Raw genomic sequence first — 17,894 nt, 5'->3', positions numbered from 1 at the left:
TGTGAGCCCCTTGAGACGTTCATCCGCACTGTTTCGGAGAAATCTCTATTTCAATCTATTCCTATACGTTAGTTATTGAAAAACAATAGACAATCACAAAACAAGTTCACCTTTTTGTGTTCCTTGAGCTCAGTCAGGAAGGGCCCTCATGACTGGGCCTCATGCCAAAAAACTAGTTACAAAGAAGCTAGAGTTCCAGACTGCGCCTAAGCTTCATGAGACCTCTCCTCGTCTGCACAGACGAGTGGCCAACACTGGAGCCCAGGCTATTGCTTCCCAGTCTGGTGGTGAATCGTCCATAGTCTGGTAAGTGTAAATATCTTTTCCCTTCTTCCCTTCCCATTGCAATTTGCTTATTCTATCAATCTGCTTATTAACTGTTTATTATTATATCATTTGCTTATTATATCTGCATTGCCATTTACATGGGATAAAGGTTGTTTACCCTTAAAGGTATTGTGTGTGTGTCTTTTCTTCTCCCTTCATGTGTTTCCCACACAGAAGAGTCAGGTACTTTATATGGTATTAAAAAATTATGCTAACCTCTGTTATTTCTGGAAGTGACACAGCAGGTAAATGTGGGTCAAATTTGTGTGTGGGGGGTGAGGGGAGGAGACATAATTCACATAAAATTCATCCTTTTAAATGGCACCACAAGAGAACTTTCTGGAGTGATAGAAACATTCCACAGCTAGTTTTGCATGACTATTCCATCAAAATTCTTCCTTAAACTGAACAACTGAGGCCTGTTCATTTTATTGTATCTAAACTACATCTCAATTTAAAATAGTAATTTTTAATTATCAAATTAAAATGCTATTTTAACTCAATTTAATTTTATGTAATTAAACATTATTATTTTTTAATTAAATAATTTTTAAATAATAATTTTAAAAGCAAATGGCACTACTTTTTAAAAAATCTGGCACAATTAAAATGTGGGAAACATACAGTGGTTGACTCAATGAAATAGTCTCCAAATTAATATGCAAACAATAGGTCACATTTGCCTTGTGGTGTTAGTTCATTTCTCAAATCCATTTCTCATTTTTGTTAAGGAGAATTGGGATAACCAAAGACATTATAAGTCAGGTTAACTTGCCTGCAGCAATAGAGCCTTAATATACACCAAGGAATAGTATCAACTTTGTGATCACACACTTTAGAAAACATCATATATATTACTTGATGTAAATACAAAAAAGTTGAGTTTTTTTTGTTTTTGTTTTTGTTTTTGAGACCAAGTCTCGCTCTGTTGCCCAGCCTGGAGTGCAGTGGCGCAATCTTGGCTCACTGCAACCTCCACCTTCTGGGCTTAAGCAATTCTCCTGCCTCAGCCTCCTGAGTAGCTGGGATTACAGGCATGCACCATCACGCCCGGCTAATTTTTGTATTTTCAGTAGGGACGGGGATTCACCATGTTGGCCAGGCTGGTCTCAAACTCCTGACCTCAGGTGATCCACCCGCCTCGGCCTCCCAAAGTGCTGGGATCACAGACGTGAGCCACTAAGACTGGCCTTATTTTTTTATTTTTTTGAGACAGAGTCTCGCTGTTGTTGGCCTGGGCTGGAGTGCAATGGCACGATCTCGGCTCACTGTAACCTCTGCCTCCCAGGTTCCAGCAATTCTCCTGCCTCAGCCATCCGAGTAGCTGGGATTACAGGTGCATGCCACTGCACTCAGCTAATTTTTGTATTTTTAGTAGAGACAGGATTTCACCATGTTGGCCAGGCTGGTCTCGAACCCCGTCCTGACCTCAGGTGATCTGCCAGCCTCAGCCTCCCAAAGTGCTGGGATTACAGGCATGAGCCACCATGCCCAGCCACTGGCCTTATTTTTTAAAATAGTATGCCCACTCTCCAAATAAGCAATAGGCTATTATACATGTAATATATGTAATATAATGTCTTATTATATATTCACCAAGTGAATGAGCAAGTTGGTTTTAACATGTCTGCAAGAATTATAACATTTGGGATTTTCCTTAATTTTATTCTAATTTTCATCTTAAAGCTAAGTAGTGTACAAACAGGCAACTGATATAGTCAAACATGACTAAGACAAAAACAAAAAACAGCCTTAGTTTCTACAGAGAAATGATGTAATTATCTGAGGCAATTTTCTAAGCATGGTAAAAAGACATTTTAAGGGACAATCATACTAGAAAAACTAATTCCATTCCGAGAAAGAAAATAAACTTTTATCTGAGGAATGCTTTAGTTATCAGGCCCAGAGAGGCATTGAAATGTGACAGAGTGTGACAGCAGTCACATCCTTGAGCTAAGTGACTACCTCTTGAAGCCATTTGCTATGTGGGCTCTAGACTAACGCCAAGCAGCCATAAAATGCCATACACTGGACACCATCGTGCATACCCTATAGTTCAACAATGTACAGTTAATCATTAATCAGTGTTGTTTCTATAAACCAAGGAGCACTCCTGTCAAACAACTTTGTCAGACCACCTTTTGTTCCCTTTGCCCTTAAAAACCTGCTTGCAGCAAACCCTGGCGGGAGCACTCTGCAAGGCAACTGGGAAGTGTGTCCCGGGCTGCAGTTCTCAACCTTGGCCCCAATAAATTCTCTCTGTTAATTTTGCCTCAGTGTCCTTCTTTAGGTTGAAAATTCCTACCGCTATCTTAGGTACATGCACTCAACTTCATTTCCTTATTCAAACCACAGATTGTTACTTTTGAATGTGAGAATATATGTAATTACTAAAATATGCACATTTATTTATTTATTTTTTGAGATAATAGTCACGCTTTCTCACCCAGGCTGGAGTGCAGCGGTGCAATCTTGGCTCACTGCAACCTCCACCTCCTGGGTTCAAGCAATTCTCAGCCTCCCGAGTAGCTGGGATTACAGGTATGCGCCAACACGCCTAGCTAGTTTTTTGTATTTTTAGTAGAGATGGGGTTTCCCTATGTTGGCCAGGCTGGTCTCGAACTCCTGGGCTGCAGTGATCTGCCCGCTTCGGCCTCCCACAGTGCTGGGATTACTGATTGTGAGCCACCATGCCGGGCCTTATTTCTAAGGAGATATGTATGTTTTTGTTATGTCTTTTCTGGTTGTGAGATCATCTATATGTGTTATGTGTGCAGGGGTTCTTATTTTAAGCTAGGTATCTACGTAGGTGAGAGTGAATATGGGATGCATTTATCTACAGCTGTGTGTGCACTCTGTCTAAAAGGTTTGTAACTGGGGCGTTGTGAACCAAAGATGGGCCAGGAGTCCTCGGGTATGCATAGATTTCAAACAGAGCTGGGTATGCATGGATTTGAAACACGCAATGCTCCCACTCATGGAATGTAATCCTAAACACATACGGCAGTTTTAATAGTGATAACCTCCTTTTTTTCAGACAGGGTCTTGCTTAGTCACCCAAGCTGGAGTGCAGTGGTGCAATCTCGGCTCACTGCAACCTCCACCTATTGGGTTCAAGCAATCCTCCCACTTCGGCATCCCGAATAGCACCACAGGCATGCGTCACCACACCCAGCTAATTTTTTTATTTTTTGTAGAGACAGGGTTTCACATGTTGCCCAGGGCTGGTCTCGAACTCCTAAGCTCAAGCAATCTGCCTGTCTCAGCCTCCCAAGGTGCTGTTATTACAGGGATAATCTTTTTTCTTTAGGAAGAAGGGAATACTTACTGAACAGCTAGTCCATGTTAAGCACCATTTTAGGTACTTTATAGCTATTATCTCCTGTAAGTAATCATTACTACTAACCTAAACAGGTATGAACTGGCCCAGTTTTTTTTTCTTTTTTCTTTTTTTGAGACAGAGTCTTACTTTGTTGCCCAGCCTAGAGTGCAGTGGCGCGATCTCAGCTCACTGCAACCTCTGCCTCCCAGGTTCAAGCAATTTTCCTGCCTCAGCCTCCTGAGTAGCTGGGATCACAGGCGCACACCACCACACAGGGCTAATTTTTGTATTTTTAGCAGAGATGAGGTTTCACCAAGTTGATCGGGCTGGTCTTAAACTCCTGATCTCAAGTGACCCAGCCTCACCCTTCCAAAGTGCTGGGATTATAGACGTGAGCCACCGCGCCTGGCCTGAACTGGCCCATTTTTTTTTTTTTTTTTTTTTTTTTGAGGTGGAGTCTCACTCTGTCGCAGGCTGGAGTGCAGTGGCATGATCTTGGCTAACTACAACCTCCACCTCCCCGTTTCAAGCAATTCCCCTGCCTCAGCCTCCTGAGTAGCTGGGACTACAGGCGTGCGCCACCACACCCAGCTAATTTTTTTTTTGTAGTTGTTATTTTAGTAGTATTTGTGTGGCCCAGCACAAATTTGTAAACTTTCTTAAAACATTGAGTTTGGTTTTTTTTTGTGATTTTGTTAGTGTATTTTATGTGTGGCCCAAGAAAATTCTTCTTCCAACGCGGCCCAGAGAAGCCAAAAGATTGGACACCCCTGGCAGTAGACTATTACCTCCTCCCTCAACTTAAAATCCTTTTCTGGTTCCTTTGTGCCTGGAAGATAATAGCACAAATGTCCTACACATTCCACCTACTTCTTTTTCTCCAATTATCTCTCTTAATATTAAAAATACTCTGTATTGGTCAGGTAGGATGGCTTATGCCTGTAATCCCAGCAATTTCAGAGGCGAAGGCAGGAGGATTGCTTGATGCGAGGAGTTTGAGGCCAGCCTGGCCAACATGCCGAAACTCAGTCTCTAGCCTATAGTCCCAGCTACTTAGGAGGCTGAGTGGGAGGATCACTTGAGCTGGGGAGGTCGAGGCTGCAGTGGGCTGTAATTGCACCACTGCACTCCAGCCTGGGCAATGAAAGTGAGACCCTGTCTCAAAAAAAAAAAAAAAAAAAAATTCCCTGTATTAATCTACTCCAAGTTTCCAAGAGACACCATGCTACTTTAGGTGGCTCTGTCTTGGTAAAAATGTGCCTCTACTTCAATTGCCTTGCTGACTTGTAATGATGATGATTTTTTTTTTTTTTTTTTCAAGAAATCAGCCGAAGTAGACTTTCAGGGATCCACCTTCTTTGGGAAGCTTTCCTTCATACCATGTGCCTACTCCTGTCCTTGCTTTATTGTCCTGGCATTGCTCTCATGCTGTTTACATGTGTGTATCCCTTTCCTAAGCTGTAAGAGCCTCAAGGCCAGCACAGCGTCTAGCACATAGTGAGTGCTCATCAATTGTACAACCTCTTATAAACTACATGAAAATACATCATTATTAGATTGTAAATAAAAAATTGTAAAGTCTGCATGTAAGAGAATGTTATCCGGGTAATGTTCTCGTTATCTGTAGAGATGGCCGTTCTATAAAAGCTGCTTTGGAGTCATTTTCATGACCACAAGTCAGTCAAGTACTCAGTACAACTTAGACAAATGCAACAAGTAAACCTTGGAGTAGATGATTCTGGATTTTAAAATACAGATATAAAGGATATTTTTGAGACAATTAGAGGAAAAAAAGGTGATATTTATGATATCACTATCATATTTATGATAGGTGATATTATTGAATGAATGTTAACTTTCTTAGGGATGATAATGGTATTCTAGTCAGCTACAATGTCTTTTATCTTAGGCAGTGAGTACATGCTTAAATTTTTAGGGAAAAAAGCCTCATGTCTGTAACTTGTTCTCAACACTTTTTTTTTTTTTTTTTTTTGAGACAGGGTCTCACTTGGGTTGCCCAGGCTGGAGTGCAGTGGTGTGAGATCAAGGCTGTCTGCAGCCTTGACCTCCCAGGGTCAGGTGATCCTCCCACATCAGCCTCCCAAGTAGCTGGGACCACAGGTGTGTGCCACCACACCTGGCTAATTTTTGCATTTTTAGTGGAGATGTTTCGCCATGTTGTCCACACTGGTCTCAAACTCCTGGGCTCAAGCCATCTGCCCGCCTCAGCCTCCCAAAGTGTTGGGATTACAGGCATGAGCCACTGTGCCTGGCCTCAACGAGTTAATTTTTGAAAAGCATACATACACAGGGAGATACAGCAAATGTGGCACAATGTTAATTGATAAGAAGTGTGAGTAACTTTCAACTTCTCTGCATATTTGAAAAATTTCAAAATAAAATGTTTGAAGGAAATGCTAAGAACACAACAACAAAACCCAAATCTTTTGAAATTTAAGCATCAACATTGCTTTTGGCCTCTCTCCCTCCTAAACCTGCAGAAAAGTACCTCCCATTGCCATGTTCACACCACCACATTTCAATCAGGTTTGTGTTTTAAAGTTGAAAGCCACAGTCATCCCTTGAAAAACACTCTATACTTTGCTCTCTTAGTTGACCAACCGTTAATTTTTATTTGTGCAAATGACATTACATTAGACTTTAGAAGCTTAAGCAAATAAAAATGTGCTTCCCAATTGCTACGTGTAATTCCTTGAGATCAACTATCAGAGACTTTAATCTGAGACGACTTGAGGTGATAAGGAAGCAACAGAAGTTGGCAGCAGTCTTGCTTTAATCCTCTCAGAGTTGCCAAGTTCCTGGCAAAACCTAGTTATTTGTTATTGCTGTGAAGGTAACGCTGGAGCCCAAAAAATGATACCCCAAATGAAGGCCGCAGAAGCAAAGTTTCTCTGCCCTCCTGTCTGTTGACCCTGATTCTTCCCCAGGTGAGCCATAGAAACTAGAATTCCTCTTCTCCAAGACCGGCCATAGAAGCCAGAATCCCGTTTCCTGAAAGCCAGCCATAAAACCTAAATATATTGCTCTTAAATTTCCCCCACCTTTCTATGTAACAGCTGGCCATAAAGAAATTAAGACACTCATTCCAGAGGGATCCCACCCCCACACCCAGCAGAAGGAAATGCTGCAGACAGGCCTTGGTGAGCTTCCCCATGTAGTCTATTCTGATAGCATTAGGACCATATCCTTTTTGTCCATATTTCTACATGTCCAATCATATTTCTACATCGACTTTTCATTGAACATAAGCATAAAAATGAACAGTTTTCCCTATATCTTTGGGTCTTCATTCTGAAGGCTACCATGTCAAGTAAACTATAAGTGTGTTATGCTTTTTCTAGTTAACCTGTCTTTTGTTATAGGGGTGTTAGCCATGATCCAATGGGGAGGGAAGGGATCACTCCTTTCCTCAAGTGATCAGGCAGTTGGATCACTTGAGGTCAGGAGTTCAAGACCAGCCTGGCCAACATGGCAAAAACCCTGCCTCTACTAAAAATACAAAAATTATCCAGGTGTGGTGGTGGTGCATGCCTGTAATCCCAGCTACTCAGGAGGCTGAGGCACGAGAATTGCTTGAGCCCAGGAGGCAAAGTTTATGAGATGGTGCCACTGCACTCCAGCCTGTCTAGTCTGGGTGACACAGCAAGACCCTGTCTCAAAAAAAAAAAAAAAAAAAAAAAAGTTAACGAACTTAGGTACCTACTTAGGAGAACCAAAAATATATGGCCACACAAAAATTTGTACATGGCTGTTCATAGCAGCATTATTCATAATAGCCAAAAAGTAGAAACAACCCAAATGTTCATCAACTTACCAATGAACAAAAATGGCATATCCTTACACTGGAAGAGTACTGTCAGAAAAAGTAATGAAATACTGATAATATAAACATGGTACAACATAGATGACTCTTAAAAACACTATACCAAGTTAAAGGAGCCAAACCCAAAGGTCACATATTGCCTGATTCCATTTACATGAGATGTCCAGAATGGGCAAATCCATAGAGACAGTTTATTAGTATTTCCCTGGGGCTGGGAGCAGAGGGGTTGGGACTAGGGAAATGACTGCTAATGGTACAGAGTTCTTTCTGGGGTAAGGAAGATGTTCTGAAAGTAGATGGAGATGGTTGCACAACTTTGTGAATACGCTAAAAACCACTGAATTGTTCAATTTAAATGGGTGAATACTATGACATGTGAATTATATCTCCATTTTTTTAAAAAAAGTTAATGAAAAGCAACTTTCTTCTTATTTCATTTTTAGGGACAGGCAGGGGAGCCCAGCGGCATGCTGGATATGAATGTATCTTCAGCCTTCAAGTTACCATTGGCCAGAGGGAAGAGTGGCCCCAAACTCTGAAGAGCGCTGGCAAGGCTCCCCATCTTCCTCTCCCTAGCCTCCACAGGAACATCACAGTATGGCTTGGCATTTTTTTTTTTTTTTTGAGACGGAGTCTCACTCTGTCACCCAGGCTGGAGTGCAGTGGTGTGATCTCAGCTCACTGCAAGCTCTGCCTCCCGGGTTCATGCCATTCTCCTGCCTCAGCCTCCCGAGTAACTGGGACTACAGGCGCCCGCCACCACGCCCAGCTAATTTTTTGTATTTTTAGTAGAGACGGGGTTTCACTGTGTTAGCCAGGATGGTCTCAATCTCCTGACCTTGTGATCTGCCCGCCTCAGCCTCCCAAAGTGCTGGGATGACAGGCGTGAGCCACGCGCCCAGCCTGGCTTGGCATCTTTAGGGCAGATCTCAGTATGCCTTGCATTCCAATTCATCTCCAGAATCCTACACTTCCTCCAAGGTCAGTCCTCATGCGAGTCTCCAACCTCATCCCCACTTCATTTTCCTCATTGTACTTACCATCTTTTATTCGTATCCCACCAAATTTTGGCTTTGTTAGCTATACTGCAAATAGTAGATGCTCAATAAACTACTAGTGAATGAATGAACTTGGAAAAAAAAGCTTACACAGAAATCTGTACTGGATGTTATTTAAAAGATGAAATTTCATGGTTCAAATGTATTTTTCTCCCATAAAAATATTTTCTCTTCCATTTAAATATATACCTAATCTTTGAGAAATCTTGCACAAATGGCATTTTATTAAAGAAAATCTAATTTACAAAGCTTTGTAAATTTTAAGAAAAACATTCATAGATCATAAACAAAAATTTCAATATGCAATATTCAAATTTACAAGAAAATAAGCACAAACTTTTAGACAGTGCAGTTATTGCTGCACTCCTTTAATTCCTTATCCAGAGCCCAAAAAATGTAGACAAACCCTAAAAATGTAGCAGAAGCATTTCCGCACACTGGTGTCCAGAATCTAGTTTGTGCAGAAATGTTTCCACTAGATTTATAGAGTACTCTTCAGAAGAAAGAGGCGAGGGCTCGTCATTTGGTCACCCTTTGGACATTTTGCAACTCTTCAATGGGTTTCCATTGTTGGTTGATTGTTATAAGCTGAAGAGAAAAAAGGAAAAAAAAAAAACCTTTTGTTAAAAATTTGACTTTCATTTGCATGTCCCTCTTTCGGATTTGTCCACACTCCCCTTTAGAAAAAGCATCACCATTGTGTTTGTACCTACCTCTTTCCATATCTAAAACATGCACAAAATAGTAATGTGAGCTGGTTTCTATCAGTCCATCTTTTTACAAAGCCCTTGGGCTCCTAAGTGTTATGAGATCAGAGGGAAAGATCAAACACATGTGCCCTACTTTCACTTAGCAGTATCCAGATTTTTTTTTAAGACAGTCTTGCTGTGTTGCCCAGGCTGGAGTGCAGTGGCACAACTGCAACTCACTGCAGCCTCCGCCTCCCATGTTCAAGCAATTTTCGTGCCTCAGCCTCTCCAGTAGCTGGGTTTACAGGTGCGTTCTACTACACCCAGCTAATTTTTGTATTTTTAGTAAAGATGGAATTTCACCATGTTGGCCAAGCTGGTCTCGAACTCCTGACTTCAAGTGATCCACCCGCCTCGGCCTCCCAAAGTGTTGGCATTACAGGTGTGAGACACCGTGCCTGGCCGGTATCCAGATTTTTAAGTTTGCCAGGTATTATGTGAGCCATAGTTCCAAAAGTGTATATGCTTCTCATGAGTGGATGGACAATGCTCCTGGCATAGAGTAGGCTCTTAAAATTTCCTCATTTTAATTACTCGATGAAGGCACAATTGATCTAAGTTACACAATAAGGGTAAGGTACTAAATCTATTTTGCTCACAAAGGTGCTAAGGTTTGGGCAAAATATAAATCATTTGTTTTTAATTTAACAATACCTTTTGAGGTACAGTAGGGTCCACAGTTTCCCAAGGTTCTGGATTTTTTTTTCGATCAAGGCTAAAATTAAAGAAAGCCAATTAAACATTAAAAGATGTGAATTTAAACCAACACTGATACTGGGTTTATAAACATGTTAGGGACAAAACCAGTCTCATACTAAGGCATGTGTCTGCTAATGATCAGGAACCATCAGTAGCAACTAAAATTGATTGAAAATTCTCTAAGGGAGTTTCATGGTGTGGCTCAAACATTAAACATCAGTTCCCCTAAAGGGTAGGAGGTCTGTATTCTCTTGATTGGGCTGCATTGGGGAAGGATCCCACAAACCAAATAACCATGGGAGTGAAACTGCCAAGCCAAGGACATGCAATAATGTTCTTATCTCAGTCTGTGGGAGGGGCAGGTTGAACTCTGCAGGTGGTGAACTCCAGGGCTCTAGGCTCCTCTGCCAGCGGTTAGAGGACTGCCCTCTCCAGCCCTGCACCAGCCTCCAACAGTTTCAAGTTTATCTTTTCCTCATATTCCAGGATACATGTTTTTGTTTTTTACTTTCTTCTACCCAAAGTTGAGATTAGGTTCATCGTAGACAACTGAATCTATCAATTCTACCACATTAGTAAAAATCTAATAAGCTAAAATTTAAAATTTTAATTAAAATGATTGTTTCATGATATATATCTCCCAAAACCACTGAAGAACTTTAAATTTCAAAACTTAAAAAAAAAAAAACAAGCTTTACTTCACTGCCAGAGAGTGGAGAAGGGCCAATGGGTAAAAGAATAAACACAAGAAATAAACTAATTTGATTAATATCATGGGTTTTTTTAAATTTTTTCTTTTTTTTTTCTAATTTTCATTTTCTGACCCATTGGTAGACAATATCATAAGAGTTTTCTGATAAAAGATGCTTTTTAACCCTGACTCCCAGTTCACAATTTGGCATTCTCATCCATGGGAAAAAAATAGGAAACTTATACATTTCATAAACTAAAAGTCATCCAAACACTGCCAAAAACGTTTTTATAAATTGAGACCTACTTACATCACATCGGTTTTCCAAAGAGAATACACAGCGAAAGATGAGGCTCCACCCGCCGCCACAGTCATGAACACCACCAAGGGAATGAGCTAACAAATAACAGGTGGAGGGGACACATTTGGACACTTCAATATGAAACATTTGAAACACAGCAAAACAACTGTATTTATTTTATACTTTGTTCAAAATCTGTGCCATCTTTTCATCTTTAAAAATGAAAACTTTAGTCAAGATTTTCAATTGTTTTTAAAACTTACTTCCTTCCTTTTCATCAGGAGTTGGAAAAAGCTCATGATGACTTCAGCGAAGAATTGCCAAATCTAGAAATTAAAAATCCAAAGTATTGATCGCCTGGTGGGCGCCAAACCGTCCACCGCGCTCCGCAGGCCAACTGCGGGCCGGCGCGTCCGCGTCTCTGCAGATGGGAGACTCACCTGGACGCCGGGCGGTGCGCACGGACGATGGTAACGCCCGGAACCGAACGGGCCGGCGGCCTCCCCACCTTATATATAGCGACCACAACCGCCCCGGGTGGGCCGGGCCAGCGCGCTCTGGTCACGCGCGTGGGGCGGGGAGCGCGAGGGACCTGACTCGCTTTCCCCGTTGGGCACGCGACTCCCGGGCGCCCCCTGCAGGACATTCTGCGGCTGACGTGAAGCGCCCGAACGCGGGCGCTGGCGCCCCCTGCCGCTCGCCGCGGTCTTCCTTACCTGCCGACCCCGGTCGCTCTTGGCCCCCCTAGGTGCTTGTGAGGAGTTTGGAGGTTTGGGGAGTAGGAGGTGGAACCCCCTAAGAGGGGAGCGCAGATAGCCGAGGCCTGAGGGAAAGCCAACCCTTCTAAAAGGGTATCCGGGCCTGGCGCGGTGGCTTAGGACTGTAATCCCAACACTTTGGGAGGCTGAGGCAGGAGGATCACTCGAGTCCAGCCTGGCCAACGTGACGAAACCACGTCTCTACTAAAAAAAATTAGCGGGCGTGGTGCTGCATGCCTGCAGTCCCAGCTACTGAGGAGGGCGAGGCAGGAGAATCGCTTGAGTCCAGGCCTTTGAGGTCGCAGTGAGCCAAGATTACACCACTGTATTCCAGCCTGGGCAACAGAGCGAGACCCTGTTTTAAATAAAATAGAATAAAACAAAATATTTAAATAAGCAAATAAACAATAAAAGGGGGTCCGGAAAAATGAGCTGCAGACCGGAGGGTCCCAGGAGAGGCTCCCAGGTGCAGGCGGGTAAATTAGAATTAATCCAATCACATTAAAAGCTCCAAAATGTGGTCTGTGCACCTATGGAGATCATTAAAATTAAATTGTAAAGTTTATTTCAGAATAACTCCCAGGGCGTCCTGACTTTTTCTGCTAAAAAAAAAACCCAAAAAAACAAAAACAAACAAATAAACACAATAAAACAAAAACCCGAGGTCGAGGGAGAACAAACAAAAGAATAAGCTGGGGAGGCTGTCAGGAGAAGGTCTTTCTGCAAACGACCCTGCCGGCTGGTTTAGTCTTTGGGTTCCCTCCTAACTCTCCTCTAAGCCAGCAACCTCACTTTGCAGTTTGCAGGCGGCTGCAATGGTAACAATTTCACAGAGCCAGGGGCTGTGTGTGTGCCAGACACTGAGCCAGATTCCCCTCGGCAAGGTGGGTGCAAAGTCTTATTAAGACTCAGAGAGGCTCTGGTCACGTCACTGGTAAGTGGCGGCGATGCCATCAGAACGCAGGTCTGTCTGGTGCCCAACACCATGGTTCTGTCTGCACCCCTCTGTTAAATACTGCAATAAGTAAAGGACCAGTTATTTTAAAACAAACAGTTTGAAGTTCAAGCTGTAAGTTAAAGTTAAAAGGCAACATCTTAACGTTCCCTGAAATTGGCTAGACCCTGCTGTGTTTCAACCCCATTTTCATTCTAAACCTGGGTTTTGTAGTCAAATGGACCTGAGTTCAGAGCCTGCCCCTGCTATACTTATTATTAATAGCTGACTTTAAGTAAACTACTTAACCTTCATGAGTTTCAGTTTATATATCTGCAAAATGGGGGCAAACCTGGCAGGGGAGAGAGTTGGAAAAAATGTTAGAATATATGTAAAGCATTCTGTCCTGCTTGTAGTAGGCACTCAACAAATAGTTACTATATGCAAAGATTTGGTTTTTTGTTTGTTTTGTTTTTTGAGCCAGAGTCTCGCTCTGTCACCCTGGCTGGAGTGCAGTGGTGTGATCTCGGCTCACTGCAACCTCTGCTTCATGGGCTAAAGCGACTCTCATGCCTCAGTCTCCTGGGCATCTGGGAATACAGGCATGTGCCACCACGCCCCGCTAATTTTTGTATTTTTAGTAGAGACAGGTTTTGCAACGTTGGCCAGGCTAGTTTTGAACTCCTGACCTCAGGTGATCCGCCCCCCTCAGCCTCCTAAAGTGCTGGGATTATGGGTGTGAACCACCACGCCCAGCCTCAAAGATTTGTTTTATGTAAGGCTGATCATAAATGTAGTTTCCCACTCCCTTACTCTGGCAAGCGTTCTTACTGTTTAACCCCAGAACTGTAACTAGAGACATTTGCTAATTGGATGGATCTACGTTATATACTTCAAAGAAAATTCAACATTAATTCTCCTTGGTTTGTATTACCTAGAATCAGAGAAGCCTTTTAATGAAAGACTTCTAAGGCTACTTCTGTCAGAAGATTCTACAAAAAAACCTCATGTTATTAAGAAACAGAAGTTTTTCTAGGATGGAAGGAAGGGAGGGAGAGAGAAAGAGAAACAGGACGAAGAGAGAGAGAAGAAGAAGAAATAAATTTTACATTAGTATTTCATGAGCCCAAAATTGAAATTAAAAATGTGTAGCCATTGCCTATTAATGACCTTAAACACAGAGCCGTGCTTTGCCAGTATCATTTCTTTTCAAAATGTAATGCAGTTTTTTAGTAGTCTAGGCATTATTCTGAGGATGGGGGCATAGCAGAATTAAAAAGAGTAGTAAGACACAAATCACTTACTTCAAGGTGCTTGCAATTTAGTAACTCTAAATAACTCTAATGCAAGGCATGATCTGTTGCCAAGACAGGTGATTAATTCTAACTAAGGGGGTCTGAGAAAACTTACCAAAGGTGGGGTATTTATTTGAATATACAAAAAGACAAATCAACTGTAAAAAGACATTTTGGGGGCAAGTGGGAAACTTAAATAGGATCCAGACATTAGATGATATTAAAGGGATATTGTTAAGTTTCTTAGGTGTGATAATAGTATTGCAGTTTATATATATATATAACTGCAATATATATATAACTGCAATAACTGCAATATATATATATCTCGGCTCACTGCAACCTCTGCCTCCCAGGTTCAAACAATTCTCCTGCCTCAGCTTCCCGAGTAGCTGAGACCATGGGCGCCCGCCACCATGCCCAGCTAATTTTTGTATTTTTAGTAGAGAGGGGGTTTCACCGTGTTGGCCAGGATGGTCTCAATCTCTTGACCTCGTGATCAGCCCGCCTTGGCCTCCCAAAGTGCTGGGATTACAGGTGTGAGCCACCGCGCCTGGCCGGCGATTATATTTTTTAAATGGCCTCTCCCTTTTTCAGAGCTTGTATGTGGAAATATTTAAGGGAGAAATATTATGATGTCTGGGATTTACTTTAAAATATTTCAACTAGGCCAGGTGCGGTGGCTCACGCCTGTAATCCCAGAACTTTGGGAGGCCAAGGTGGGTGGATCACGTAAGGTCAGGAGTTCGAGACCAGCCTGGCCAACATCTCTACTAAAAAATACCGAAAATTAGCCAGGTGTGGTGGTGGGCGCCTGTAATTGCGTAATCCCAGCTACTCCGGGGGCTGAGGAAGGAGAACCACTTAAACCTGGGAGGTGGAGTTTGCAGTGAGTCAAGATAGCGCCATCGCACTCCAGCGTGGGCAACAAGAGCAAAACTCCATCTCAAAAAAAAAACAGAAACAAAAACACTTCAACTAAAAAACAAATTAGGAATATTTTACAAAATAATAATTATTTAACGTAGGTGATAGGTATGTGTGGGTTTGTTGTACTCTTCCTTTTATGTATGTTTGGAAATGTTTAAAATAAAACATTTTTAAAATTCACAAATTATACGTAGTTAGTTACAGATATAATTTGCCCATATAACCTTTAAGATCTTATTCCTATTTGCAGCAATAAAAATTAAACCCAGAAAGCCACACTTTTCTTCCTTTTCATAATGCCTGGGTATATCAAGCTTTTGAGATATCAAAGTCAATATGTAGTTTGGTCTTTCCCTGATTCAAGAATTATAACACTGTGCTTTGGGTGACTCATTTATATTTTACAATTAATAATATTACGGCAAATGCAGCAATTTTGAATTATTTACTCAATAAATTCTGTTGGCCAGGTGCCGTGGCTCAGGCCTGCAATTCCAGCACTTTCGGAGGCAGAGGTGGGAGGATCACTCAAGGCCAGGAATTTGAGACCAGCCTAGATAACATAGCCAGACTCTACAAATTTTATTTTTTTTTTTGAGACAGAGTTTCACTCTTGTTGCCCAGGCTGGAGTGCAATGGTGCAATCTCAGCCCACTGCAACCTCCGCCTCCCAGGTTCAAGCAATTCTCCTGCCTCAGCCTCCTGAGTAGCTGGGATCACAGGCCCATCATGCCCAACTAATTTTTTGTATTTTTAGTACAGAAAGGGTTTTACCATGTTGGCCAGGCTGGTTTCGAACTCCTGACCTCAGGTGATCCACCTACCTCGGCCTCCCAAAGTGCTGGGATTACAGGCATGAGCCACTGCACCCAGTCTACAAAAAATTTTAATAATTAGCTGGGTATGGTGATGTGGGCCTGTAGTCCTAGCTACTTGGGAGGCTGAGGCGAGAGGATTGCTTGAGCACAGGAGCTTGAGGTTACAGTGAGTTATGATTGTGCCACTGCACTCCAGCCTGGGCAACAGAGCAAAACCCTGTTTCTTTCTTTCTTTCTTTCTTTTTTGAGATGGAGTCTTGCTCTGTTGTCCAGGCTGGAGTGCAGTGGGGTGATCTCAGCTCACGGCAACCTCCACCTCCCGGGTTCAAGCCATTCTCCTGCCTCAGCCTCTCAAGTAGCTGGGACTAACAGGCATGTGTCACCACACCTGGCTATTTTTTTTTTGTACTTTTAGTAAAGACGGGGTTTCACCATGTTGGCCAGGCTGGTTTCAAACTCCTGACCTCAAGTGATCCACCTGCCTCGGCCTCCCAAAGTGCTGGGATTATAGACGTGAGCCACTGCGCCCGGCCCAAAACCCTGTTTCTTAAAAAACTAACAATAAAAAACTGTCACCAAAACAAGTACAGTTGACCCTTGAACAACTTGGGGATTAGGGGAACTTACACACCCCTGCTCTCCACATAGTCAGAAATCTGCATATAACTTTTGACTCCCCCAATATTTAACTACTAATAATCCAGTGTTGACCAGAAGCCTTACTGATAATCTAAACAGTTGACTAACACATATTTTGCTTTTTATATAGGTAAAGTTCTTACAATAAAGCAAGCAAGAGAAAATAAAAATGAAGAAAATCATAAAAAGAAAATATCACTTTTTTTTTTTGAGACGGAGTCTTGCTCTGTCGCCTGGGCTGGAGTGCAGTGGGACGATGTCAGCTCACTACAACCTCCGCCTCCTAAGTTCAAGTGATTCTCCTGCCTCAGCTTCCCAAGTAGCTGGGATTACAGGCATGAGCCACCGGGCCTGGCTGAGAAAATATATTTCTATTCATTAAGCAGAAGTGAGTCATCAGAAAGGTCTCCATCTCTTCAAATTGAGTAGGCTGAGAAGGAGGAAGAAGAGGAGGGGTTGGTTCACTGCTTCAGTGTGGCAGAGGTGGAAGAAAATTCACATATAAGTGGACCCAAGCAAATCCCAGCACTTTGGGAGGCCAAGAGGCTGATCACCTGAGGTCAGGAGTTCGAGACCGGCCTGGCCAACATGGTGAAACCCCGTCTCTACTAAAAATAGAAAAATTAGCCGAGTGTGGTGGCAGGTGCCTGTAATCCCAGCTACTCAGGAGGCTGAGGCAGGAGAATCGTTTGAACCCGGGAGGCAGAGTTTGCAGTGAGTCGAGATCGTGCCACTGCACTCTAGCCCGGGCGACAGAGTGAGACTCCATCTAAAAAATAATTAATTATAAGAGGACCCAAGGAGTTTAAACTTGTGTTGTTCAAGGGTCAACTGTATGTGACTTAAGAACCTTCAGATTTTCTGCCCTTTTGCCTGAGGTTGTGAAGGCAAGACCCCAGAAAAGAAGTTTGTCATTCAGTTCTTTAGCAATAAGAACACTTCCCACTCCAAAATGTAATGGAATTCATAGCCTCACCACCAGCAACCAGAGGATAGACATGAAATTAGGGTCCTCCCTGCCCCCAAGCCCTGTGTACTGGCCAGGGTGCCCAGAAGGCACCGCCAGGCCAGTACTGCCTGGGTGACCAGGATGAGAAACAGGCACAGCTCCCAGCCCTTCAGACCCTGGCAGCCCCCAAAGCAGCCCACTCAGGACACTCACCAGCATCACCCTCTGTGGCTGCCCCGGAGCCCATAATCCCTTGGGGGGTCTTCCCCACCCACCTCCAGTTACCAGCAACTTGTAGAGCCTTTCTCTAGCTACTGCCACTCAGGCTTGCAGGGGCATGGAGACATGGCTGCTTGGTTCATACCCCAGGAATTTAGATTTTTTTTTTTTTTTTTTTTTTTAGGATGGAGTCTCGATCTGTCGCCCAGGCTGGAGTACAGTGGTGCGATCTTGGCTTACTGAAACCTCTGCCTCCCGGGTTCAAGCAATCCTCTTGCCTCAGCCTCCCGAGTTGCCAGGATTACAGGCGTGAGCCATTACGCCCAACTGTTTTTTTTTTTTTAGTAGAGACGGGGTTTCA

The 17,894-nt window shown here is 42.9% G+C and overlaps 1 protein-coding gene, 1 long non-coding RNA gene and 1 other non-coding gene across 4 annotated transcripts, besides 2 other annotated features; 1 reads left to right on the top strand and 2 right to left on the bottom strand.

Annotated features, from left to right (window-relative positions):
* Window positions 1-208: 208 nt before the first annotated feature.
* Window positions 209-8,618, top strand: LOC107987223 (uncharacterized). The gene is made up of 2 exons (XR_001751510.2): window positions 209-306; window positions 7,937-8,618. It is a non-coding gene; the product is annotated as an uncharacterized LOC107987223 (long non-coding RNA).
* A 128-nt stretch (window positions 8,619-8,746) lies between these two features.
* COXFA4L3 (cytochrome c oxidase associated subunit FA4L3) lies at window positions 8,747-11,477 on the bottom strand. Of its 2 annotated transcripts, NM_197955.3 has the most exons (5): window positions 11,432-11,477; window positions 11,255-11,317; window positions 11,001-11,086; window positions 9,955-10,015; window positions 8,747-9,139 (listed from the first exon to the last, which is right to left on the bottom strand). In NM_197955.3, exons 2-5 carry the CDS (start codon window positions 11,288-11,290, stop codon window positions 9,071-9,073), a joined length of 252 nt encoding a protein of 83 aa, NP_922946.1. In that variant the 5' UTR covers window positions 11,291-11,317; window positions 11,432-11,477; the 3' UTR covers window positions 8,747-9,070. The 2 variants fall into 2 exon arrangements, with proteins under 2 accessions (NP_922946.1, NP_115789.1); NM_032413.4 differs by having other exon boundaries at window positions 11,255-11,477.
* On the bottom strand, window positions 8,958-9,037 carry MIR147B (microRNA 147b). The gene has a single exon (NR_030599.1). It is a non-coding gene; the product is annotated as a microRNA 147b (primary transcript).
* Window positions 11,455-11,534: a silencer, noted in NCBI's record as "silent region_6409". NCBI's record gives its function as "represses an Ori minimal core promoter by ATAC-STARR-seq in GM12878 lymphoblastoid cells {active_cell/tissue: GM12878}" and the evidence as "EXISTENCE:reporter gene assay evidence [ECO:0000049][PMID:35858748]".
* Window positions 16,987-17,486: an enhancer, noted in NCBI's record as "H3K4me1 hESC enhancer chr15:45716799-45717298 (GRCh37/hg19 assembly coordinates)". NCBI's record gives its function as "activates a minimal SCP1, AML or CMV promoter by ChIP-STARR-seq in naive H9 embryonic stem cells {active_cell/tissue: H9 hESC(naive)}" and the evidence as "EXISTENCE:reporter gene assay evidence [ECO:0000049][PMID:30033119]".

The sequence above is a fragment of the Homo sapiens genome, chromosome 15 (genome assembly GCF_000001405.40).
Source record: "Homo sapiens chromosome 15, GRCh38.p14 Primary Assembly".
Classification (NCBI taxonomy): domain Eukaryota; kingdom Metazoa; phylum Chordata; class Mammalia; order Primates; family Hominidae; genus Homo; species Homo sapiens.
The sequence above is the reverse complement of the archived record's forward strand: the minus strand, read 5'-3'. Positions and strand labels throughout refer to the sequence as shown.

Bases quoted from the DNA above. Each gene is read 5' to 3' on its own strand.
- COXFA4L3 (NM_032413.4), bottom strand. From the start codon at position 11,290: ATGAGCTTTTTCCAACTCCTGATGAAAAGGAAGGAA. The intron at 11,087-11,254 runs GTAAGTTTTAAA...GTTATTTGTTAG, and splicing joins TCCTGATGAAAAGGAAGGAA to CTCATTCCCTTGGTGGTGTT. The intron at 10,016-11,000 runs GTAAGTAGGTCT...CTTTAATTTTAG, and splicing joins CTTTGGAAAACCGATGTGAT to CCTTGATCGAAAAAAAAATC.